We start from the raw sequence: 27,851 nt of genomic DNA, 5'->3' as shown, positions 1-27,851 counted from the left end.
ACTCTTGTCTAGAAAACTAGCTACCCTTTATGGCATTGTTTCAAAGGAAGAATGTACCCCTGCTTCTTTGCAAACTTTGGTTCATGACACATTTTAAATTGCGATATGTCTGCTTATGGTCACATGGAATCATATGTCTACTAGCTTATTTTATCATTCACAACATATACTAATTAAATATTTCTCTTTTTTGTGAAGCAGTGGCTTTTAGTTACTAAGAAGGCATGAAGGACTTGGTCTTTATTTTACCAAGTGGGTAGGTGTGTCTCAAGTCAGTACCTCTGTAGTTTTATTACCAGTCCATATAAGCTATTTCAGAAAAGAACAGCTGTCTTTTTCAGATGGATTTGGCGTATTCTAGCCAAAATCAGGTTAGTTCTTCTTCTTTTTTTTTTTCTTCAAGCAGCTTCTGTAAAGAGAAAGTGTGCTATTGAATTCTAGGTGTTTCTCATTTCCTCCCTAGTATATAACTGGCATCCTTAGTGCTGAATCTTTAGTTGAACATTTCCACTTATAGGAAAGACTGGACTTGAAAAATGAAAACATGAGGAATATTTGGAAATGGTGAGTAATCTGATTTGCCTGTGATTGGTGGTCAGAAAGAGAAGTAGTAGAATTTGCAACTGTAAAAGTATATCAGGAACAGATTGCAGAAGGCCATGATTGTCAGGCTTAGGCATTGGAATTTTATTTGGTTAGCTATGAAGAGTTATGAAAGGTTTGTGAGCGATGCAGAGACATAATATGCTCAGTAATTCCGAATTTTTATTATTTAAAAAAATCTGCTCTCTCCCAGGAAATATGTGGTTTAGGAAAAATGCCATCCTTTTAATGAAGTAAGTATCTTTCCTCTTTGGGATGTTGTATGAACTGCGTCAGCAACTCCACATTTGTGCCTCTCCTGCTTTCCCTTAACATAAACACACCAGGATCCTCAATGAAGGATGCTGGCAGTGACAGCATGAGTTTGACAGCTTCATTGAGGATGCTCTAGATGGTCAGTGATCTTGACTTTCTCCCATTGCCTAAAAGATAATGTATTGTAAAGGTTTTTCATTGCATTTTCAGGAGTTTGGGGGGAAGTTAATGAACAACCTTCATTTATAAAACAATTTTGTATTTATTATCTTATTTACCTATTTATTTCAAAAGTTTTCTAATGTAGGTTATTGTTATCCCCATTTTACATATATGGAAATACAGGCATACCTCATTTGACTGTGCTTCACTTTATTGTGCTTTGTGGATAGCATGTTTTTTACAAATTGAATGTTTGTGGCAACCCTGTGTTGAGTGAGTCTATTGGTGCCATTTTTCCAACAGCATGTGCTCACTTTATGTCTCTGTGCCGCATTTTGGTCATTCTTGCAAATTTTCAAAGTCTTGATTATTATATCTGTTATGGTGATCTGTGATTGGTGATCTTTGATGTTATTATTTTAATTGTTTTGGGGCACCATGAATTCCACTCATGTAAGACAGTGGACTTAATCGGTAAATATTGTGTTTGCTCTGACTGATTATTCCACTGAAGGGCCATTCCCCTGTCTCTCTCCCTCTCCTTAGGCCTTCCTTCTCCCTGAGATACAGTAATGTTGAAAATAGGCCAATTAGTAGCCCTATATAGCCTCTAAGTGTTAAGTGAAATAAAAATTTACATGGCTCTCACTTTAAATCAAAAGCTAGAAATGATTAAGCTTAGTAAGGAAGGCATGACAAAAGTTGAGATACTCTAAAAGCTAGGCCTCTTGTGGCAAGCAGTTAGCCAAGTTGTCAATGCGAATGAAAGGTTTTTGAAGGAAATTAAAAATGCTACTCCAGTGAGCACATAAATGATAAGAAAGTGAAACAGCCTTATTGCAAATATGGAGAAAGTTTTAGTGGATAGAAGATCAAGCCAGACACAACATTCTCTTCAAGCAAAGTCTAATTCAAAGCAATGCTATAACTCCCTTCAGTTCTGTGAAGACTGGGAGAGATAAAGAAGCTGCAGAAAAAGTTTGAAGCTAGTGGAGGTTGGTTCATGAGGTTTAAGGAAAGAAGCCATCTCCATAACATAAAAGTGCAAGGTGAGACACAAGTGCTGATGGAGGAGCTGCAGCAAGTTCTCCAGAAGATCTAGCTATGATAATTGATAAAGGTGGCTACATGAACAACAGATTTTGGTAGAAGAAACATCCTTCTATTGGAAGAAGATGTCTTTCAGGACTTTAATAGCTAGAGAGAAGAAGTAAATGCCTGACTTTGAAGCTTCAAAGCAGTGGCTGACTCTTTTGTCAGGGGCAAATGCAGCTGGTAACTTTAAGCTGAAGCCCATTGTTCATTTACTATTGGGAAAATCCTAGGACCCTTAAGAATTATGCTAAATCCACTCTCTCTATGCTCTGTAAATGAAATAACAAAGCTTGAATGACAGCACATCTGTTTATAGCACGGTTTACCGAATATTTTAAGCACACGGTTGCAGTCTACTTCCCAGGAAAAAGTACTCCTTTTGAAATATTATTTTTCATTGACAATGCACCTGGTCACCCAAGAGCTTTGATGGAGATGTGCAAGATGAATGTTGTTTTCATCCTTACAATACAACATCCATTCTTCAGCCCATTGATCAAGAAGAAATTTTGACTTTCAAGTTTTATTATTTAAGAGATACATTTCATAAGGTTATAGCTTCCATAGATAGTGATTCCTCTGATGGATCCAAGAAAAGCCCATTGAAAACCTTCTGGAAAGGATTCACCTTTCTGGATATCAGTAAGAGCATTCATGATTCAGAGGAGCAGGTCAAAATATAAACATTAACAGGAGTGTGGAAGAAGTTGGTTCCAATCCTCATGGGTGACTTTGAGGGGTTCGAGACTTCAGTGGAGGAAGTAACTGCAGATGTGGTGGAAATAGCAAGAAAACTATAATTAGAAATAAAGCCCTTTCAAAAAACCAGCTCCTGGATTCATTAATTTTTTGAAGGGTTTTTTGTGTCTCTATTTCCTTCAGTTCTGCTCTGATTTTAGTTATTTCTTGCCTTCTGCTAGCTGTTGAATGTGTTTGCTCTTGCTTTTCTAGTTCTTTTAATTGTGATGTTAGGGTGTCAATTTTGGATCTTTCCTGCTTTCTCTTGTGGGCATTTAGTGCTATAAATTTCCCTCTACACACTGCTTTGAATGCGTCCCAGAGATTCTGGTATGTTGTGTCTTTGTTCTCGTTGGTTTCAAAGAACATCTTTATTTCTGCCTTCATTTTGTTATGTACCCAGTAGTCATTCAGGAGCAGGTTGTTCAGTTTCCATGTAATTGAGCGGTTTTGAGTGAGATTCTTAATCCTGAGTTCTAGTTTGATTGCACCGTGGTCTGAGAGATAGTTTGTTATAATTTCTGTTCTTTTACATTTGCTGAGGAGAGCTTTACTTCCAACTATGTGGTCAATTTTGGAATAGGTGTGGTGTGGTGCTGAAAAAAATGTATATTCTGTTGATTTGGGGTGGAGAGTTCTGTAGATGTCTATTAGGTCCTCTTGGTGCAGAGCTGAGTTCAATTCCTGGGTATCCTTGTTGACTTTCTGTCTCGTTGATCTGTCTAATGTTGACAGTGGGGTGTTAAAGTCTCCCATTATTAATGTGTGGGAGTCTAAGTCTCTTTGTAGGTCACTCAGGACTTGCTTTATGAATCTGGGTGCTCCTGTATTGGGTGCATATATATTTAGGATAGTTAGCTCTTCTTGTTGAATTGATCCCTTTACCATTATGTAATGGCCTTCTTTGTCTCTTTTGATCTTTGTTGGTTTGAAGTCTGTTTTATCAGAGACTAGGATTGCAACCCCTGCCTTTTTTTGTTTTCCATTTGCTTGGTAGATCTTCCTCCATCCTTTTATTTTGAGCCTATGTGTGTCTTTGCACGTGAGATGGGTTTCCTGAATACAGCACACTCATGGGTCTTGACTCTTTATCCAATTTGCCAGTCTGTGTCTTTTAATTGGAGCACTTAGTCCATTTACATTTAAAGTTAATATTGTTATGTGTGAATTTGATCCTGTCATTATGATGTTAGCTGGTTATTTTGCTCGTTAGTTGATGCAGTTTCTTCCTAGTCTCGATGGTGTTTACATTTTGGCATGATTTTGCAGCGGCTGGTACCGGTTGTTCCTCTCCATGTTTAGCGCTTCCTTCAGGAGCTCTTTTAGAGCCCAAAGTTGTGACTGAATTGCTGCAATCTCGTGAAAAAACTTGAAGGGATGAGTTGCTTCTTACAGACGAGCAATGAGAGTGATTTCTTGATAAGGAATCTACTCCTAGTAAAGATGCTGTGAATATTGTTGAAATGACAACAAAGGATTTAGAATATTACATAAACTTAGTTGATAAAGCAGTGCCAGGGTTTAAGAGGATTGGCTCCAATTTTGAAAGAAGTTCTACTGTGGGTAAAATGCGACCAAACAGCATCACATGCTGAAGATAAATCTTTTGTGAAAAGAAGAGTCAATTGATGAGGCAAACTTCATTGTTGTCTTATTTTAAGAAATTGCCACAGCTGCCCCAACCTTTAGCAACCACTGCCCTGACTGGTCAGCAGCCATCCACACTGAGGCAAAACCTTCCACCAGCAAGAAGATTATGACTTGTTGAAGCGTCAGATGATTCTTAGCATTTTTTTAGCAATAAAGTATTTTTAATTAAGGTATGTAAATTGATTTTTAGACATAATGCTATTGAACACTTAATAGAGTGCTGTACAGTATAAACATAACTTTTACATGCACGGGAAACCAAAATATTTGTGACTCACTTAATTGTGATATTTGCTTTATTGCAGTGGCCTGGAACCAAACTCACAATATCCCAGAGGTATGCCTGTAGGTCTCACAGTCAGTTAGTGGCAGAGACAGAACTAAATTCTAGTCATTTGATTCTGGTCCTGTGAATTTACCACTGATCCATCTTTAGGGCTAGGAAAATGACTAAACTTGGCATAACCTTCAGATAGTGTATTAGTAACGTCATTTTCATTTTTCAATGATGAATTATTATTATTATCATATTTTATCTAACCAGTAGTGGCAAATATGAGGTGCAATGGACATGTTTTAGTGTTGCTCTCATTAAGTTGATAAACACATAGCATCAAGCAATTCATTTCTCTCTTTGGTGTTGGTGTCTTAGGTGTCTCATGTGTAAAATGAAGGGAGAGAATTATACAATATCTAAGCTTCTCCATAATTCTGACATGCCATGATTCCTTTTTTCCCCAAACTACCTTTGAATTCAAACTATAGGATCACGTTGCAGTTTAGTTACTGAATAAGAAAGAGTTCTACTTAGGTCGCAGATTAAATCTGCTTCCCCACACAATAATTTAGTGCACATTAGGAGAAAAAAAATCAGTAATAAAGAATAAAACCATAGAACAATATATTGAAAATAATTTGGGGGTGATATTTAGCATTGATTTTTATTTATTTATTTATTTATTTTAGACAGGGTCTTGCTCTGTTGCCCATGCAGTAGCATGATCTCAGCTCACTGCAACCTCCGCTTCCCAGGCTCAAGTAATCCTCCAACCTCAGCCTCCCCAGTAAATGGGACTACAGGTGTGCCACCATGCCTAGCTAATTTTTGTGTTTTTGTAGAGGCAGGATTTCGCCATATTGTCCAGACTGGTCACAAACTAGCATTGCTTTTTGACTTAAAAGTTTTCAACTTTTTGATGAAGAATGATGCTAAGATATCAACAGTCACCAGGAGGAAATGGAAATGCATTCTCATGGAAGCTAGTATTTCAGTAAGAAAGCAAGCACAGTGTATTGGCCTTCTATTCAGGATTTTAAAGAATTGTTTAATTTTTCATTTTTGTGGGTACATCATAGGTATATATATTTATGGGGTGCGTGAGATGTTTTGATACAGGCATGCAATATGAAATAATCACATCATGGAGAATGTGGTATCCATCCCCTCAAACATTTATCCTTTGTGTTAAAAACAATCCAATTAGTTATTTTAAAATGTACAATTAAATTATTACTACTGATGTCACCCTTTGTGCTATCAAATACTAGGTTTCATTCTTTTTATTATTTTATACACATTAACCATCCCCACTTTCCCTCAACCACTCCACTATCCTTCCCAACCTCTAGTAACAATGCTTCTACTCTCTATCTCCATGAGTTCAATTGTTTTAATTTTTAGCTCCCACAAATAAATGACAGCATGCAATTTTTGTCTTTTTGTGCCTGGCTTATTTCACTTAGCATAATGATCTCCAGTTTCATCCATGTTTTGCAAATGACAGGATCTCATTATTTTTATGACTGAATAGTACTCCAGTGTGTACGTGTATCATATTTTCTTTATCCAATCATCTACTATGGATATTTAGGTTGCTTCCAAATCTTACCGATTGTGAACAGTCCTGTGACAAACATGGGTGTGCGGATATCTCTTTGATATACTGATTTCCTTTCTTTGGGGTATATACCCAGCAGTGGGATTGCTGGATCATATGGTAGCTCTATTTTTAATATTTTGAGGAACCACCAAACTCTTCTCCATAGTGGTTGTACTAATTTACATTCCCACCAACAGTGTACGAGGGTTCCCTTTCCTCTACATTCTCATCAGCATTTGTTATTTCCTGTCTTTTGGATGTAAGCCATTTCATCTGGGGTGAGATGATATGTTATTGTAGTTGTGATTTGCATTTCTCTGATGATCAGTGATATTAAGCACCTTTTCATATGCCTGTTTGTCATTTGTATGTCTTCTTTTGAGAAATGTCTATTCAAATATTCTGCCCATTTTTAATTGGATTATTATACTTTTTCCTACAGAGTTGTTTGAGCTCTTTATCTATTCTGGTTATTAATTCTTTGTCAGATGGATAGTTTGCAAATATTTTCTCCCATTCTGTAGGTTGTCCCTTCACTTTGTTGATTGCTTCCTTTGCTGTGAAGAAGCTTTGTAATTTGATGTGATCCCATTTGTCCATTTTTGCTTTGGTTGCCTGTGCTTGTAGGGTATTGCTCAAGAAATTTTTGCCCAGACTGATGTCCTGGAGATGTTCCCCAAAGTTTTCTTGTAGTAGTCTTATAGTGTGAAGTCTTGGATTTCAGTCTTTTAATCCATTTTGATGTGATTTTTGTATATTGCAAGAGATAGGGGTCTAGTTTCAGTCTTCTGCATATGGATATCCAGTTTTCCCAGCACCGTTTATTGAAAAGACTGTCTTTTTTTCCAGTGTATGTTCTTGATATTCAGCAAATAGTTTTCCCTTTCCCCATAGGATGAGGGTAGAAGTAGACTATGTACAATTTAAGGATCTGTCTAACCCTGTTTTTCTGTGAACTTAAATTTCTCTGGGCTAGAAGTGAGGTAAGTTCTCAGTAACATTTCCCTTCTTTATTTTGATGCCTGTTTAATCATGCAACACAATTTGATGAACCAACTGTATGCCGGGAAATGTTCTCAGTGACATTCTGTCCAGAATTTCTACTTGTGTCTCTTTACTGCTGGGTTGGGGCCAGGATATATGCCTGGCAAAGCTCATACCAATGCTAGAGTAAGAGTTCGAGTATTAACCACACTGTCTGCCTCCTACACAAGCAATCATTGTGACAAATATGTAGTGATTGCTATTTTGGATAAGATATAGGTCTATGTAATTGGCCCAGTCTATTAATTGAAATCTTGAATTACGATATCTAGTCATGTATTTTTTTTCCTATTAAGAACTATTATTTTTTTTCTTTTCCTTGCATTGCCTCAGGCTGTCTCCTAAGCATGCCCCAGATATTCCTGATGACAGCACTGACAACATCACTATCTTCACCAGAATCTTGGATCGTCTTCTGGACGGCTATGACAACCGGCTGCGACCTGGGCTTGGAGGTCAGTCCTTTTAAGATCTTTGAAGTCCTTTTCAGATCTTCTTCTTGGCCATTGTTATCTAAAAACAGTTATAAGGTGCCTTCAGTAGTCTATTGGCCAATGAGATTAGTGTAAAGCTGAATTTCTTCCCTATGAGCACTAAAAATTAGTCATAATCCTTCATTTCAGTAGGTGATTTCTCTGGTCTGGCTTCAGAAGATTCTAGGTTTTTGCTAGGTGCATATGGAGTAATACACAGATGTTCCATGACTCACAATGGTTTGACGTATGATTTTTGTCTTTATGATGGGTTTATGGGACATAGCCCAATGGATTTAGACTTACTATATTTCCAACTTATGATGGGTTTATTGGGATGGGGTCTTGTAAGTTGAGGAGCATCTCTCCCTCAAGGTTAGACAATGCCCATTTCTAGTAACAGAATACCAATACCTGCCTGGGTGACTGGTGTGGTCCAGGAAAAGCTGAGAAACATGCCTTTGTTTTCAAAACCCTGAGCATATATCAGCCTGACACTCCAAAAAGGAATAATCTACTGGCTATGTGAGATCTTAGTTGGCCATCAGTTTAGTATAATCAGCAATATGATCACAATAAGGTAAATATATTATAATATATCACGGGTTATTATAAATTCACAAAATGTAATCTAATGCTCTTTTGTAATCTGTAGTCCATATTCAAATTTTTCCAATTATCCCCAAAATGTACTTTATAGAAATTTTCATTGATTTAGGATTCAATCTAGGATTATGCATTACATTTATTGTTGTGTCTGTTTAGCCTACACTCAGCATTTCTTTGTCTTTCATGACATTGATTAAATCTTCCATATTTATTTTCAAAGTAACACCATAGGAGTTAATTATGTCTTTATCAGCACATTGCTCAAGAAGGGACTTGAAGTCTGTTTGCTCCATTACTGGTAATGTTAATGTAGATGTTTACCAGGTTGCTGCACTCTAAAATTACTATTTTAAAAGTTTATAATTAATACGTAATTTGTGGAGAGATGTTCTGACACTATTTTATGCCTTTTCCAGCTTACACCCAATAGTCTTAACAACTATAGATTATCCCTGTGAGACTAATAACAATTATGGTGGCAAAATGGTGATTTTCTAAAGCGATTATTATTCTACACTTACTAAATGACATTCTATTGTAAGAAAAAATCTCTTTCTCTTTAATTAATTAGCTAATGTCAGTATGAATGGATTTTTGCTTTATTCGGTGGATTACAGTCCATTAATATCATTCATTTCAATAGACTATTTTGATTAAAATTTTTGCTAATAATTTCCCATATTCCCTAAGTGGAAGCCTATTCCATTTGGCTTCTGTTTCCTTTTGATATGCTCTCATTTTTTGAGTACTTTCTTATTATATGGCATGACAGTATATTCCAGACTTATTTTGTACTTTCATAATCCAGCCTTGGAATTAGTCATTTTTCCAAGAATAAGTGGTACCTTTTTTGGGAAATTACATTTAGAATCAAATTTCTGGCTGCTAGGTGTCCTCATTACTGCTAGGATCTCATTGCTTCCAGGATTTTTCAGTAGATAGAACTGGGAAAATAGCAAATGCACACACACTCACACATATACACACACAGATGTATTGTATATATGTATATGTATGTGTGTGTGCATGTATGGCAATAAGTTTACACTGATACTACTAATTGCAGTCCAACAAGTACTTTTAATTGATACATGTACCCATTTGTTTAATCCTACAATATACAAAAATATTTTGAAATTACTACACCCATAGTACTACAATAAACACATTAAGTAAAGTTAAATATATATTTGCAGTTTTTTCATTGTGTTTTGATTTTGGACTAAGGCTATGTAACGCCTGCTTTTATATAAATAATGGATTAGAGTAGAGCGGTATTGAAGGAGGAGAGACCAGTCACAAATTAATTGCAATTTTCTAGGATGAAAATAATGACTGTGTGAATGGAGAGAATTTGGTGACTGCTTAGATTATGGGGTTAGAAAAAGAGGAGGAGAAAGGGATAACTTCTAGGTTCCTGGCTTGTATCACTGGGTGGTGCTATTTTCTAAAATAGGGAAGACTGGAGGGAGAATGGTGCAATTGCGTTTTGTTTTTTTTTTTTTTGGATTTGAGGTTGGAACAATTAATATGGAAAGAAGAGAAAGAAAATAAGGACCAGATTTACTCTCCCATCTTAAACAACCACAAAGAAATGAACAAATATATAGTGTTTTATAGAAATCAAACAAAGGCAGCACAGGATATTGATTCCTGAAAGAAAGAAAACAAACAAGGTGAGCTCTGTGATTGCTGATCCTTAACTGCCTGGAGCAAATTTTTAGGCTACAGTGCAGGGAGGGGAGCCCAGATAGCGTCTGGTGGACTGTTTCAGTTGAGAAGAAGTTGAGAAATTGGGGAGGCCAAGGTTATTAATTCATAAGGCAGAGGAGAAGATAGAGCTGCATGGAGACTAAAAAGTTGTGGAGAGAAAGACAGAGAGAGAGAAAGCAGAAATCTGTAGAGGGTGCTTCACAAGTTTTCAAGTATGTACTCCTTACCTCACAACTCAAGGATGTACTCCTTACCTCACAGCTCAAGGATGAGGAAAAGACCACTGGAAACAGTGGGTAAAACATCAGGGTTTGGAATAACTTGTGTTTTCACCAACCAGAGTTTCCATCACTCTACTTGGTGGAAACACTTTTAACACCTGGTACATGGGGTAGGGTACTTAGAATATGGCCTCAGTGGCATGGCAAAATTATCCCAAGACTAAAGGCTGCTCTAGTCCCACATGACAAAGGTTAAAATCAAGCTTCAAAGAATTTAACTATTTCTAAGTAACACATTATCTCGGAACAAAAATCAAAAATATTTATAGCAGTAAAAAAATCTGATATCTGACAAAGTGGAATTCACGATGATTCCAGTCAAAAGTTTCCAGTCAAAAAATTTGAGAAAATTTTCTGGAAAAAAGTTTCCAGTCAAAAATTACCAAGCATGCAAGGAAACAAGAAACTACAACCCAAAAAGGACAGAAACGCTAATAAGCCTAAGGATATAGCAATAATAATTAGCAAAAACAAGACATGGAGAGAAAGAAAGACTGAAAAATGAAATGGAAATCAGTGCACTGTGGTACAGCTTCATGTAGTCTAATGTAACTGTAATGGGATTATCTGAAGGGGGCAGAAAATATACTTGAAGAAAAACTGGTCAAAAGATTCTGACTTTTTGGGCAAATGACATTAATAGACATTTCTCAAAAGAATATATATAAATGGTTAAGAAACATGTGAAAAACTGCTCAACATCACTAATCATCAGGGAAATGCAAATTAAAACCACAGTGAGATACTACATTCCTCCTGCAAGAATGGCCATTATTAAAAAGTCAATAGGGCCGGGCGTGGTGGCTCACGCCTATAATCCCAAAACTTTGAGAGGCTGAGGTGGGCGGATCACGAGGTCAGGAGTTCGAGACCAGCCTGGCTAATATGATGAAGCCCCGTCTCTACTAAAAATACAAAAATTAGCCAGGCGTGGTGAGGTGTGCCTGTAGTCCCAGCTACTTGGGAGGCTGAGGCAGGAGAATTGCTTGAATCCGGGAGACGGAGGTTGCAGTGACCTGAGATCACGCCACTGCATTCCAGCCTGGGCAACAGAGTGAGACTCCATCTAAAATAAAATAGAATAAAATAAAATAAAGTAAAATAAAACAAAATAAAGTCAGGCTGGGCATGGTGGCTCATGCCTGTAATCCCAGCACTTTTGGAGGCCGAGGCAGGTAGATCACAAGGTCAAGAGATCGAGACCATCCTGGATAACATTGTGAAACCCCGTCTCTACGAAAAATACAAAAAAATTAGCGGGGGGTAGTGGTGTGTGCCTGTAGTCCCAGCTAGTTGGGAGGCTGAGGCAGGAGAATGGCTTGAATCCGGGAGGCAGAGATGGTAGTGAGCCAAGATCACGCCACTGCACTCCAGCCTGGCAACAGAGCAAGACTCAAAAAAAAAAAAAAAAAAAGTCAATAGATGTTGTTATGGATATGGTGAAAGGGAAACGTTTATACACTGCTAGTGGGCATATAAATTAGTACAACCTCTATGGAAAACAGTATGGAGATTCCTTAAAGAACTAAAAGTATAGCTACCATTTGATCCAGTAATCCCACTACTTGGTATCTAGTAAAAGGAAAAGAAGTCATTGTATAAAAAAGACACATGCACATATATGTTTGTTGCAGCCCAATTCACAATTGCAAAGATACGGAACCAACCTAAGTGCCCATCAACCAATGAGTGGAAAAAGAAAATGTGATACATACACATTGTGGAAAACTACTTGGCCATAAAAAGGAGTGGAATAATGTCCTTGCAGTAACTTGGGTGGACGGAGCTGGAGGCCATTATACTAAGTGAAATAACTAAGAAATGGAAAACCAAATACTATATGTTCTCACTTATAAGTGAGAACTAAGCTATGATTACACAAAGGCAGACAGAGTGATAAAATGGACTTTGGAGACTCAGAAGTGGGAGATTGAGAGGGAGATATGGGATAAAAAAGTACATATTGGGTACAACGTACACTACTCAAGTGATGGGTGCACTAAAATCTCAGAATTCACCACTGTATAATTCATCCATGTAACCAAAAACACTTGTACCCAAAGGGTATTGAAATAAAAAAATTAAACAATTCTAACTTTGATTAAAATTGCAATCTCCCCAACCAAGAAAGTCAACAACTCCAAGGACAAGAAGCATGAAGAAAATTACACCAAGAGAAAGGAAAAAATTGCTTAGAACCAATGATAAAAAGAAAATCTGAAAAGCAAATAGAGTAAAAGAAGACATTATGTGCAGATGAAAAACTTTAGAAGGATACTAGACTTTTTGTCACAAGGTAGTGGAGCAACAGCTTTAAAGTACTGAGAGAAGAACAAAAGCCATCCTAGGATTCTTTAACCAGAGAAAATAAATTTCCCCCCAAAAGGCAAAATAAACACTTTTTTCAAACACATAAACACTTAAAAAGATTCATCACCAGCAGATCTGTACTGGAAGAAATGTGTCAGCACAAGGAAAATGATGCCAGATAGAAATCTGGATCTATACAAAGAAGGGAAGGGCAGTGGAAATGGAAACTGTGGGTAAATGTAAAATAGTTCCTCATTTAAAAATTCTCACCAAATGATAAGTAAATACTTAAAGCAAAAATAATAACCATGTATTGTGTAGCTTGTAATATATGTACAAGGAAAATGTATGTCAATGAAATCACAAAGAAGTGGAAATATGCCATTGAACAGTTTTGTATTACACAGAAAGTGAGATAATATTACCTGTAGGTAAACTGTGATAAGGATGTGCACTATAGAACTTGAAAATTTAGCTAATAAAGCAACGAAGGATGTAAAAATGTAATAAGAAAAATATTCAATCCATAGGAAGGCAGAAAAAGAGGAAAAGCTAACAAAGAATAGAAGAAACAAACAGAAAACAAATAGCAAGGTTGTAGATTTAAACTTAACTACACAGATAATCTCATTAAATATAAATCATCTAAACACCCATATTTAAAGGCAGAGGTGGTCAGATTGGATTTAAAAAGAGCAAATTTCTCCCTGAGAGAAATGCACTTTAAATATAAAACCACAAGTGGGTTAAAGATAAAATGATAGGAAAAGATGCATCATACTAACACAAATTAAAAGAAGGTTGGAGTAGTTATTTTAATATCAGAAAAAGTAGACATGAGAGCAAAGAATATTACTAGGAGTACAGACCGAGAAGTGAAACGAGAAAGAGATGGTCTATAATATAGTTAGAGATTTCAACAACGCCCGAATTAGATAATGGAACAAGTAGACAGAAAATAAGTAAAGAAAGCAGAAACTTGACCCATGCTAACAACCAACTTCACCTAACTGACATTTATAGAACATTCCAATCAACAACAGCAAAATACACATTCTCTTCAAGTGTACTGCAACATTTATGAAAATAGACCATATTCTGCATTATAACATTTAAAAAAATTACAACATAGGCTGGGGGCAGTGGCTCACGTCTGTGATCCCAGCACTTTGGGAGGCCAAGGTGGGCAGATCATCTGAGGTCAGGAGTTTGAGACCAGCCTGGCCAACATGGTGAAACCCCGTCTCTACTAAACATACAAAAATTATCCAGGCGTGGTGGCGTGTCCCAGCTACTTGGGAGGCTGAGGCAGGAGAATTACTTGAACCTGGGAGGTGGAGGTTGCAATGAGCCGAGATCACACCACCGCACTCCAGCCTGGGCGACAGAGCAAGACTCCGTCTTAAAAAAAAAAAAAAATTACAACATAATAGGGTGTTCTTTCCCGACTTTATGTTTTTGTTTGTTTTGTTGAAGATTGATTGGCTGTATTTGAGTTTATTTATTAATATTGTTAAAATGACAATACTACCCAAAGCAATTTACAGACTCAATGTAATCTCTACCGATATACCAAAGACGTTCTTCATAGAAATAGGAAAAAAAAAATCCTTAAATGTACATAGGATGACAAGAGACCCCAAATAGCCAAAGCAATTTGAAAATAAATAACAAAACTGGAGGTAACCCACTCCTGATTTCAAAATCAACTGTGAAACTGTAGTAATCAAAACAGCATCATACTGGCAAAAAACTGACACATAAACCAGTGGAACAGAATAGAAAACCCACATATAAATCCACATGTTTACAGCCAATTTATCTTGGACGAAAGATCCAAGAACATACAATGATAAAAGGACAGTCGCTTCAACAAATAATGCTGGGAAAACTGGATAATTATATGCAGAAGAATGAAACTCAACCCCTATCTCTCATCATACACAATAATCAAATCAAAATGAATTAAATACTAAAATCTAAAACCTGAACTATAAAACTGTTGGAAGAAAATATTGGGGAAATGCTCCAGGAAGTTGGTCTGGGCAAATACTATTTTTGTAAGACCTCGAAAGCACAGATGACAAAAGCAAAAATAAACAAATGGGATTCTATCTAGCTAAAAGGCTTCTGTGCTGCAAAGGAAACAACCAATAAAGTGAAGAGACACCCACAAAATGGGAGAAAATATTTGCAAGCTACCTATCTGACAAGAGATTAACAACTAGAATATATAAGGATCTCAAAAAACTCAGTAGCAAAAAATAAATAATCCAATTTAAAAATAGACAAAAGATCTGAACAGACATTTCTCAGAAGAAGACATACAAATGGCCAAGAGGTACATGAAAAAATGCTCAAAATCATTAACGATCAGGGAAGTGCACATCGAAACTACAGTTATATATCATCTCAACTCAGTTAAAATGGCTGTTACCCAAAAGTTGGACAATAACAGATGCTGGTGACAATACAGTAAAAGGAGAGCCCTTGGGCACTGTTGAGTGGAATGTAAATCAGTATGGGCACTATGCAGAACAGGGTGGCGATTATTCAGAAAACTAAAAACAGAGCTACCATATGATCCAGCAATTGCACTATTGGGTATATATCTAAAATAAATCAATATATCCAACAGATAGCTGTACTCCCATGTTTATTACAGCACTATTTACAATAGCCAAAATATGGAATCGACCTAAGTGCCCATTAACAGATGAATGGATAAAGAAAATGTGGTATATGTACATCATGGAATATTATTCAGCCACGGAAAATTACAAAATCTCTTTTTTCTGTTTTTATTTGTTGTTTGTTTTTTAATTTTTTGTAAGGCAGGGTCTTGCTCTGTTGCCCGAGCTGGAGTGCAGTAGCATGATCATGGCTCCCTGCAGCCTTGATTTCCTGGGCTCACGGGATCTTCCTTCCTTAGCCTCCTGAATAGCTGGGACTACAGGCTAATTTATTTTTTATATTTATTTTTTGTAGAGACAGGGTCTCACTATGTTGCCCAGGCTGGTCTTGAACTCCTGGGCTCAAACAATCCTCCCACCTTAGCCTCCCAAAGTGCTGGGATTACAGTTGTGAGTCACCATGCCCAACCAAAATAATGAATTCCTGTCATTTGCAGCAACATGGGTGGAACTGGAGGTCTTTGTTAAGTTAAACAAGCCAAGCACAGAAAGACAAATATCACATGTTCTCACTCATGTGTGGACCTTAAAATAGTGGATCCCATGGAGTTAGAGAGTAGATTGGTGGTTACTAGAGGCTGGGAAGGGTGGGAGGAAGGGAGAGATGAAGAGAAGTTGATTAGGTATAAATATACAATTAGATAGTAAAAATAAGACCTAGTGTTAGTACAATCAATAGGGTGACTTTAGTTTACAATGATGTATTTCTATTTCAAGACAGCTAGGAGTGAAAAATTTGAATGGTTCTAGCACAAAGAAAAGACGCATATCTAAGGTGATGGATATCCTAAGTACACTGATTTAATCTTTACAAACTATATGAATATATTAAATTATCACATGTATCCCAAAGCCGTGTACATCTGTTAAGCACCAGTAAATTTTTATAAAAAAATATTTTATCTTGATTCTGAGCGTTATCTTTGGGGGAATCCACATGACCAAACACTCTGCAACCATAACCTGCAGTTTCTCTCTCCTTGTATCTTTTTAATGGATGGATTAATCAAATCTGAATCCATCTAGAAGGGGAATTAGAAGACATCTATGACTCTGACTTGTCTCTTGTAGCCAATGGATTTCCTCTTGAAGCTGTTTAAAATAGAATTGGGGGACCACTTGAGACCCCTTTGAGACATGTTATTCTGTGACTCCTAAAATCATTTTCTGCATAATATTTAAAACTCTTCCTGAAACCAGCTTCTGGAAATTATAATGCAGAGCCTTCTGAAGACTCCAAATTACGAAACTGGGGTCTTTCTAGGAGGCCAGCAAAGTGCTTTTCTCTTTATTAATTAGCTGTTCCTGAAAGGTTCAGTTCTACTCATCTTGTTTTCTGGTCTCACTGAATTTTGAATGAACTAAGAAACTTCACCAAACTTACATAAAGGCAGCAAGTATTTCTAGATGTGTATGTTGTCTTAGGAAAACATTGCTCATTGACAAATTATACATTTAAACTTATGGGATGGGTGGGATGATTGTCAAGCAAGGTATGGAAACCCATGGTTGGTAATGAAGATGTTTGTCTGGCTGCCAAAAGGATTTTATTTTTGTGACATTAGAACAAGAAACAGGTTTAAATTGTACACGATCCAAGCTACATATTCATTAGGAGTGATACGGAGAAGTGGAGCCATTGTGAGCTGAAGCAGGAACAGTTTCTTAGCATTAACTTGGTCATTGGCTGTGTTAAAATCACTCTCCTGGAGCCATTGTTATAACTAAGTTTTGACTATAAGTGTCATTGGCAGGAGCAAAAAATGAAGGGGGGGAGATATTGAATATAAAGAATAAAGGCCTGTGGTGGGGTGGGATAGAAAAAATCTTTTAACATAGGTCTCAGTAACTGCCCTTTTGGGGACCAATATTTGTTCCTTTCCTTGGACCTCTGTGCTAAATAAATTAAGAAAATATACTTCAAAAAACTTTGAAATTGGCAGGATGCTGGCTTACCCCTGTAATCCCAACACTTTGGGAGGTTAAGGCAGGAGGATCGCTTGAGGCTAGGAGTTTAAGAGCAACCTGGGTATTATAGTGAGACCCTGTCTCTACAAAACAATAAAAAGATTAGCTGGGCATGGTAGCATGCAACTGTAGTCCCAGCTCCTCGAGAGGCTGAGGTAGCAGGATCGCTTGAGCTCAAGAATTAGAGGCAGTGAGCCATAACTGTGCCACTGTACTTCAGCCTGGGTAAACAGAAAGAGACTCAGTCTCTGAAAAAAAAGAATCTTTGAAGTTTCAGGTGGTGGGTATAGTAAAAGCCCAGACATCACCACTATGCAATATATCCAGGTAACACAACTGCACTTGTACACTTAAATCTATAAAAATAAAATTTAAAAAATTCTTTGAAGGTTTTAATAGTTGCAGAGGTGAAAGATTTGTTTGGTATTTGTTCTGACTGCAGAAGGGCTCCTTCTAGCTTTCTTTTTCCCAGTTTCTCTCCAGCAAACTAGCTGGTCTGCAGTTTGGCCTGTACATCCAATGTATCTTTCAGTTTTCTCCTAATTGCCTTTCACTACAGTCTCCCTTGTTTTTGAGAGCACCCCTAGGCTTGAACTTCTCCATACTTTGTTGCAAATGAAGTCAGTTCCTTTGGGGAACGATCTGATGCTCTCTCTTCTATGGTCTGCTTCTCTCTTGGGCAAAATCTCTAAGCTATGGTTCTAGTTCTTGGGGTGAGAACAAGGCACACTTTTCTCTGAGGAACGACCCTATGTTAGTTGCTGAGTGCTTGGTAGAGGGGTGATGGCAGTGGCCCCAGGTCTCCTCAGCTTGCATTTTTGAGCATGGACCACTGCTCCATTAGCCAGATCAAGAGAACTTGAGGCCACAGTACTCTCAGCAGTGCTATTCCCAAGTTAGAGTCTCCGTGCCGTAAGTGAGGGCTGGGAGCAAGAAAGGAAGAAACTCTCAGCCAAAGTTGCTTAGAATTTAGCTCAGCAACAGGTAGCTTATTCCTGGATGAGAAATGCTGACGTCGTGCCTTACCCAGGAAGATAGCTCTTCAGCTGGGAGATGGGGGAAGAGAGAGCCCTGTGTTCTTGGTTGCACACATCTAGAATAGAGTTTCTGTTTCACTGAGCTGGCAGGTGGGTGGGAATGGTTCTCGGTTTAAATATTCTAACCTCTTGCTTTCTTACTCAGTTTTAGTAGATTTTCTTGAATACATTTTTTCTTGAATAATTTTTTTTTGATTTTATGTATGCCCATAGGAGCATTTTCAGAAACTTTATTTCGTTGTTTCAAAAATAAATTTTAGACCAGGCATAGTGGCTCACACCTGTAATCCAAGCACTTAGGGAGGCAAAGGCATGAAGATAGCTTGAGCCCAGAAATTTGAGAACAGGCTGGGCAACGTAGCCAGACCCCATTCTTCACAGAAAGGAAAAATAATGATAATAAATTTCCATTTCACTGAGGAGCAGGTCTGCAGAGTTCTTCATGTTTTCATATCAGAAGTGAAACTTCTAGTAGCTTTTTTTGTAGATTCATTAGATAATATGCTTAAATGATTATGTCCTATAGGAAGAAAGACCATTTTAATTCTTCCTGTGCAATATGGATGCTCTTTTTTCTTTCTTTATTGCACTGAGTAGACTTCACATATAATGTTGAATAGACATGGTGAAAGCAGACACCATTGTCTTGTTCCTGATCTTAGGGAGAAAGGGTTCAGTCTTTCAACATTAAATATGATGATAGGTGTAGGTTTTTCCTAGATGAAATTTATCAATTTTGGGAAGTTTTCTTCTACTCCTAGTTTGCTAAAAGTTTTTAACAGGAACGTCAGAATTTTTCAATTGTTCTTTCTCTGTCTATTAGGCTAGTTATATAATTTTTCTTTTTAGTGTGTTGACACAGTAAATAACAATGATTGATTTACATATGTTTAGGCCAAACTTCATTCTCATGATAAATGTCACTTCTATCTTAATTACTATATATTTATGATAGGTTTGATATCTGGTAATATAAGTCATCCAGCCTTGTTATTTTCAAGATTATCTTGACTATTCATGGCCTTTCAAATTTCTAGATAAATTTTATAATCCGCTTATCATTTTCTGAGAAAAAAATCTACTCAGGTTGGCTTCATATTGAATATATAAGTAAACTTGTGGAGTTTTAAAAAATCTTTATAATACTGAATGTTCTAATTCATAAATTAGTATATTCCTCTTAATTTTATTCTGTAATTCCTCTGAATAATGTTTTGGCCTTTTCACTTTCGAGGTCTTACATATTTTTGCTTGATCTATGCCTTGAGATATGATTTTTCATGCCATTTTGAGAATTTGTTCTTCAATATAGGAGGATTAGGGCAAAAGAAGGATAAAATAACATTTGTTATAGCTATGTAGAGATATGATTGGTTTTACACATTGCCCTTGTATCTGGAAGCCTTTTTCTACTGACTTACTAATTCCAACATTTGTCTACAATTTCTTTTAGATTTTCTGCATACAAATTCATATCATCTTCAATTAGAGTAGAACAGAAGAGGTAATAGCAGCTATCCTTGTTTTGTTTCTTATTTCAGTGGAAAGCTTTTGATATTTCACCATTAATAATGGAATTTGTTGTAGGTTTACTTTGTAAATTTTTTTATATGATTAAGGAAGTTCTTTTCTCCGTGTTTCATAAGCACTGCAAGGCTACAGGATATTTTGTTCTCCTTTTCTGAAATTTTGGCCTGCCTCTTCAGCGTCTTGTGCAACCTCAGAATTCAGCAAATGTTCTGTGAGAAAAGCTGCCATGTATATAAAATTTTTCAATTTTATTATACCAGTCTCATGTATCCACTAAAAGCTTTGGTGCTTTCTACCAGGATCACACCCAGATCTTTCGCCTCTAAGCAATGCCAAGGATCACAAAATTGCCCCGGGAAGAAAAACAATGGCCAATTCTCAGCTCACAGTTCTTATCCAAATGATTTTACTACATGTAGTAATCTACACAAACTTGGCTTGTGCAAAGGGAGTTGTGATGGGTGGATAATGTATACCATTAGGAAGAAATTTTCAGTAAGTAGCATGATTAAAGCTGCTGAATTTGAATTCCCAAGCCTCCAAAGAGAATTTTTGACCATAAAATTTTAAAATGAGAAGCAAGATGATGCTTGTGGGTTAAAGCAAAAACACTAGGGCCTGGGTCCTGCTCATTATAAGGCAGCTTTTGTCTACACAGGCCTCTGCGTTGGCATGGATCTTTGCCCCTTCAAACAGGGTTTGCACCAGAGAACAGGGCTTTTACAGGCAGGCAGACCAAGAGGTCAGTCCGTTCTCTGCCGGTTGTTCCAGCTGTCTAATCATGGAGCACTTTCTTGTTCTCCCCAAGTCTGTTTTCTCATCTGTAAAAAAAAGGGTCGAGATACCTTGCCAAGTTGTTCTGAGGATTAAGAAAATAAATTATGTAAATAACCTATCAAATAGATGCTCAGTAAGTGGGAGTTTGTTTTCTTCCCTTTCTTCCACCTAAGTACTGGGAAAGAAAGTGCTTGAGAAAGTGCTTGCTGTAACTGAAATAATGAACACAAGGTGGACAGAAAGGGCATAACCTCTCCCAATTAGCAATCTTAGCATAGCTTTTTTTGAGAAATAGTTTTCACTCTCCACCAGAAAAAGGAACCCAGGGAATGAATTAGTGGTTGTAGGCATTCTGTCTTCTATGCATTATGAAGAGAGAAGCCATATTAATAAGATAACTGAAAAGTCACGTTAGTAAGATATTTGACAGAACAATGTTTATAGTATTGGATAAGAAACAGCACACAGAATTGTTTTCAAATTGAAAAGTAGATGTGATCTTGTGTTTAAGAAAGACTCCTTTGACATTCAGGAGATAACTACAGCATTTTGATGGGCTGTTTTGATTTCTAGCTAAAAGGAAGTTAAATAGGAAATGAATCATCAAGTTAATGGGCATAGTGGTGAATTAAAGAAGATGTGTGGTAGTGTAACACACCAACTCAAAACTTGGCTGATGGGGCACTTAACTCTTCAGAGAAAACTTTAATGACTAAATGTAGATTTATTTAACATTAATTAGGTATATATTAAAACCTAAAGATAAGTTTATTCTTGAGGCAATTCCAGATTATTATTGATCATAGTACATCAGGGGTTTGGTAGTCATTGGAGTGATGGGAACAGTCTTGGACTGAGAGGAGACTTTAGTTATATAGCTCTACCAGCATGAGTTGTCAACTTTGGTTAAATCTCTTCCTGTCCCTTTACTTGTTGACCTGTAAATAAGTTTAGATTTCACCTCCTTCATTCTTCAGTTTGATTATTCTAAAATGGTAAATTTATTGTTTTACTGCTATACTTGGGCCCCTACTGTGCAATAGCTGGCTGGTATGAAATTAAGTGTGGTATTTGATATTTACTTTACCAAGGAGTGCATTCTGTGTGTCCCTGGGCAAACACCTTCATGGAATTTCAACTCATTACTGAATTACTCTGCATCGCAGAACACTTCCAGTTGAAGTGCCTGTAAAATCATAAGATGTCCATGAGCTGGTTAGTGAGGTACAGAATGTTAACTCATGAAGAAACTTCCAAATTTTTTCCCAACCAGCCTCTCTTTGAGGACGATAATCCCTTTTGTAGCACTGCTGATACTTAGCTATCTAGCTTCTGCTTGATTACCTCTAATTCGTGAGTTAGTGCTCCCACTTTAAACCTTCCTAAGAAGTTCTGTAGATGGTCCCTTTGAATTCATGGTGCCAGTTTTAATTATGGGAGAGTTGGCTTTTTTTTTTTTTTCCTTCCAAAGTCTGTTTTTATGTGATGAGCCTCTGGAAATTTGAGGGGAATTCTATCTTTAGTGTCTTCAAGTGTCCTTCATGTTTTCTGGTTTCAGGGTGTTTCACAGTCCTGATCACTGTCTTCTCAGTCAACATTCCTCAAACTGTGTTCCACTGAATGTTAACATCCTGTGAGAAATCAACAAGTGACCCAGTGTTTTGAAAAATGAAATTGTTTTGTCAAATGTTTAGGTAGCTTAACAAAGGCAAATGGGTTTTTAATGCAAGACTACAAAGATTCCTTTTTATGTTAATATTAATTATGAATACATAGGAAACAGTTTTCTTTTTTTATTATACTTTTAAGTTCTAGGGTACATGTGGACAATGGGCAGGTTTGTTACATATGTATACATGTGCCATGTTGGTGTGCTGCACCTATTAACTCGTCATTTACATTAGGTATATCTCCTAATGCTACCCCTCCCCCCTCCCTGCACCCCACGACAGGTCCCGGTGTGTGATGTTCTCCACGCTGTGTCCAAGTGTTCTCATTGTTCAATTCCCACCTATGAGTGAGAACATGCGGTGTTTGGTTTTCTGTCCTTGCGATAGTTTGCTCAGAATGAGGGTTTCCAGTTTCATCCATGTCCCAAAAAAGAACATGAACGCATCGTTTTTTATGGCTGCATACTATTGCATGGTGTATATGTGCCACATTTTCTTAATCCAGTCTATCATTGATGGACATTTGGCTTGGTTACAAGTCTTTGCTATTGTGAATAGTGCCACAATAAACATATGTATGCATGTGTCTTTATAGCAGCATGATTTATAATCCTTTGGGTATATACCCAGTAATGGGATGGCTGGGTCAAATGGTATTTCTAGTTCTAGATCCTTGAGGAATTGCCACACTGTCTTCCACAATAGTTGAACTAGTTTACAGTCCCACCAGCAGTGTAAAAGTGTTCCTATTTCTCCACATCCTTTCCAACACCTGTTGTTTCCTGACTTTTTAATGATCCCCATTCTAACAGGTGTGAGATGGTATCTCATTGTGGTTTTGATTTGCATTTCTCTGATGGCCAGTGATGATGAGCATTTTTTCATGTGTCTGTTGGTTGTATTAATGTATTCTTTTGAGAAGTGTATGTTCATATCCTTTGCCCACTTTTTGATGAGGTTGTTTGATTTTTTTCTTGTAAATTTGTTTAAGTTCCTTGTAGATTCTGGATATCAGCCTTTTGTCAGATGGGTAGATTGTAAAAATTTTCTCCCATTCTGTAGGTTGCCTGTTCACTCTGATGGTAGTTACTTTTGCTGTGCAGAAGCTCGTTAGTTTAATTAGATCCCATTTTTCGATTTTGGCTTTTGTTGCCATTGCTTTTGGTGTTTTAGTCATCAAGTCCTTGCCCATGCCTGTGTCCTGAATGGTTTCACCTAGGTTTTCTTCTAGGGTTTTTATGGTTCTAGGTCTAACATTTAAGTCTTTAATCCATCCTGAATTAATTTTTGTGTAAGGTGTAAGAAAGGGATCCAGTTTCAGCTTTCTACTTATTGCTAGCCAGTTTTCCCAGCACCATTTATTAAATAGGGAATCCTTTCCCCATTTCTTGTTTTTGTCAGGTTTATCAAAGATCAGATGGTTGAAGATGTGTGGTATTATTTCTGAGGGCTGTGTTCTGATCCGTTGGTCTATATCTCTGTTTTGATACCAGTACCATGCTGTTTTGGTTACTGTAGCTTTGTAGTATAATTTGAAGTCGGGTAGCATGATGCCTCCAGCTTTGTTCTTTTGGCTTAGGATTGTCTTGGCTATGTGGGCTCTTTTTTGGTTCCATATGAACTTTAAAGTAGTTTTTTCCAATTCTGTGAAGAAAGCCATTGGTAGCTTGATGGGGATGGCATTGAATCTATAAATTACCTTGGGCAGTATGGCCATTTTCACGATACTGATTCTTCCTATCCATGAGCATGGAATGTTCCTCCATTTGTTTGTGTCCTCTTTTATTTCGTTGAGCAGTGGTTTGTAGTTCTCCTTGAAGAGGTCCTTCATGTCCCTTGTAAGTTGGATTCCTAGATATTTCATTCTCTTTGAAGCAATTGTGAATGGGAGTTCACTCATGATGTGGCTCTCTGTCCGTTATTGGTGTATAGGAATGCCTGTGATTGTTGCACATTGATTTTGTATCCAGAGACTTTGCTGAAGTTGCTTATCAGCTTAAGGAGATTTTGGGCTGAGACGATGGGGTTTTCTAAATATACAATCATGTCATCTGCAAATGGGGACAATTTGACTTCCTCGTTTCCTAATTGAATACCCTTTATTTCTTTCTCTTGCCTGATTGCCCTGGCCAGAACTTCCAACACTATGTTGAATAGGAGTGGTGAGAGAGGGCATCCCTGTCTTGTGCCAGTTTTCAAAGGGAATGCTTCCAGTTTTTGCCCATTCAGTATGATATTGGCTGTGGGTTTGTCATAAATAGCTCTTATTATTTTGAGATACATTCCATCAATACCTAGTTTATTGGGAGTTTTTAGCATGAAGGGCTGTTGAATATTGTCAAAGGCGTTTTCTGCATCTATTGAAATAATTGTGTGGTTTTTGTCTTTGGTTCTGTTTATATGCTGATTTACGTTTATTGATTTGTGTATGTTGAACCAGCCTGGAATCCCTGGGATGAAGCTAACTTGATCGTGGTGGATAATCTTTTTGATGTGCTGCTGGATTCGGTTTGCCAGTATTTTATTGAGGATTTTTGCATCGATGTTCATCAGGGATAATGGTCTAAAATTCTCCTTTTTTGTTGTGTCTCTGCCAGGCTTTGGTATGAGGAAGATGCTAGCCCCATAAAATGAGTTAGAGAGGATTCCCCCTTCTTCTATTGATTGGAATAGTTTCAGAAGGAATGGTACCAGCTCCTCATTGTACCTCTGCTAGAATTTGGCTGTAAATCCGTCTGGTCCTGGACTTTTTTTCGTTGGTAGGCTATTAATTATTGCCTCAATTTCAGAGCCTGTTATTGGTCTATTCAGGGATTCAACTTCTTCCTGGTTTAGTCTTGGGAGGGTGTATGTGTCCAGGAATTTATCCATTTCTTCTAGATTTTCTAGTTTATTTGTGTAGGTGTTTATAGTATTCTCTGATGGTAGTTTTTATTTCTGTGGGATCAGTGGTGATATCCCCTTTATCATTTTTTATCGTGTTTATTTGATTCTTCTCTCATTTCTTCTTTTTTAGTCTTGCTAGCAGTCTATCAATTTTGTTGATCTTTCAAAAAACCTGCTCCTGGATTCTTTGATTTTTTGAAGTGTTTTTTGTGTCTCTATCTCCTCCAGTTCTGCTCTGATCTTAGTTATTTCTTGCCTTCTGCTAGCTTTTGAATGTGTTTGCCCTTACTTCTCTAGTTCTTTTAATTGTGATGTTAGGGTGTCAATTTTAGATCTTTCCTGCTTTCTCTTGTGGGCATTTAGTGCTATAAATGTCCCTCTACACACTGCTTTAAATGTGTCCCAGAGATTCTGGTATGTTGTGTCTTTGTTCTCATTGGTTTCCAAGAACATCTTTCTTTCTGCCTTCATTTCGTTATGTACCCAGTAGTCATTCAGGAGCAGGTTGTTCAGTTTCCATGTAGTTGAGCGGTTTTGAGTGAGTTTCTTAATCCTGAGTTCTAGTTTGATTGCACTGTGGTCTGAGAGATAGTTTGTTGTAATTTCTGTTCTTTTACATTTGCTAAGGAGTGCTTTTCTTCCAACTATGTGGTCAATTTTGGAATAAGTGTGATGTGGTGCTGAGAAGAATGTATATTCTGTTGATTTGGGGTGGAGAGTTCTGTAGATGTCTATTAGGTCCGCTTGGTGCAGAGCTGAGTTCAATTCCTGGATATCCTTGTTAACTTTCTGTCTCGTTGATCTGTCTAATGTTGACAGTGGGGTGTTAAAGTCTCCCATTATTATTGTGTGGGAGTCTCAGTCTCTTTTAGGTCTCTAAGGGCTTGCTTTGTGAATCTGGGTGCTCCTGTATTGGGTGCATATATATTTAGGATAGTTAGCTCTTCTTGTTGAATTGGTCCCTCTATCATTATGTAATGGCCTTCTTTGTCTCTTGATCTTTGTTGGTTTAAAGTCTGTTTTATCAGAGACTAGGATTGCAACCCCTGCTTTTTTTTTTTTTCCATTTGCTTGGTAGGTCTTTCTCCATCCCTTTATTTTGAGCCTGTATGTGTCTCTGCACGTGAAATGGGTCTCCTGAATACAGCACACTGATGGGTCTAGATTCTTTATCCAATTTGCCAGTCTGTGTCTTTCAATTGGAGCATTTAGCCCATTTACATTTAAGGATAATATTGTTATGTGTGAATATAATCCTGTCATTATGATGTTAGCTGTTTATTTTCCCCGTTAGTTGATGCAGTTTTTCTTAGCATCGATGGTCTTTACAATTTGGCATGTTTTTGCAGTGGTTGGTACCAGTTGTTCCTTTCCATGTTTAGTGCTTCCTTCAGGAGCTCTTTTAGGGCAGGCCTGGTGGTGACAAAATCTCTCAGCATTTGCTTGTCTGTAAAGGATTTTATTTCTCCTTCAGCTATAAAGCTTAGTTTGGCTGGATATGAAATTCTGGGTTGAAAATTCTTTTCTTTAAGAATGTTGAATATCGGCCCCCACTCTCTTCTGGCTCGTAGAGTTTTTGCTGAGAGATCCACTGGTAGTCTGATGGGCTTCCCTTTGTGGGTAACCCGACCTTTCTTTCTGGCTGCCCTTAACATTTTTTCCTTCATTTCAACATTGGTGAATCTGTCAATTATGTGTCTTGGGGTTGCTCTTCTCAAGGAGTATCTTTGTGACGTTCTCTGTATTTCCCGAATTTGAATGTTGGCCTGCCTTGCTAGGTTGGAGAAGTTCTCCTGGATAATATCCTGAAGAGTGTTTTCCAACTTGGTTCCATTCTCCCCATCACTTTCAGGTACACCAATCAGATGTAGATTTGGTCTTTTCACGTAGTCCCATATTTCTTGGAGGCTTTGTTCATTTCTTTTTACTCTTTTTTCTCTAAACTTCTCTTCTCACTCCATTTCATTCACTTGATCTTCAATCACTGATACCCTTTCTTCCACTTGATCAAATCGGCTACTGAAGCTTGTGCATGTGTCACGTAGTCCTAGTGCCATGGTTTTCAGCTCCGTCAGGTCATTAAAGGTCTTCTCTACACTGTTTATTCTAGTTAGCCATTCGCCTAATCTTTTTTCAAGGTTTTTAGCTTGTTTGTGATGGGTTCGAACATCCTCCTTTAGCTCGGAGAGGTTGGTTATTACTGATCTGCTGAAGCCTTCTTCTCTCAACTCGTCAAAGTCATTCTCTGTCCAGCTTTGTTCCGTTGCTGGTGAGGAGCTGCGTTCCTTTGGAGGAGAAGAGGCGCTCTGATTTTTAGAATTTTCAGCTTTTCTGCTCTGGTTTCTCCCCATCTTTGTGGTTTTATCTACCGTTGGTCTTTGATGATGGTGACGTACAGATGGGATTTTGGTGTGGATGTCCTTTCTGTTTGTTAGTTTTCCTTCTAACCGTTAGGACCCTCAGCTGCAGGTCTGTTG

The 27,851-nt window shown here is 37.5% G+C and overlaps 1 protein-coding gene across 2 annotated transcripts in view; it reads left to right on the top strand.

Moving 5' to 3' along the window:
• The window catches only part of GABRA3 (gamma-aminobutyric acid type A receptor subunit alpha3), a 285,082-nt gene that overhangs the window by 97,853 nt on the left and 159,378 nt on the right, over positions 1–27,851 (top strand). For both annotated transcript variants that reach the window (XM_006724811.4, NM_000808.4), the window contains exon 3: positions 7,761–7,882. In XM_006724811.4, the coding sequence (XP_006724874.1) occupies positions 7,761–7,882 (122 nt within the window). The remainder of the gene's footprint in view (positions 1–7,760; positions 7,883–27,851) is intronic.

This window comes from Homo sapiens, chromosome X, assembly GCF_000001405.40.
Source record: "Homo sapiens chromosome X, GRCh38.p14 Primary Assembly".
NCBI lineage: Eukaryota > Metazoa > Chordata > Mammalia > Primates > Hominidae > Homo > Homo sapiens.
The sequence above is the reverse complement of the archived record's forward strand: the minus strand, read 5'-3'. Positions and strand labels throughout refer to the sequence as shown.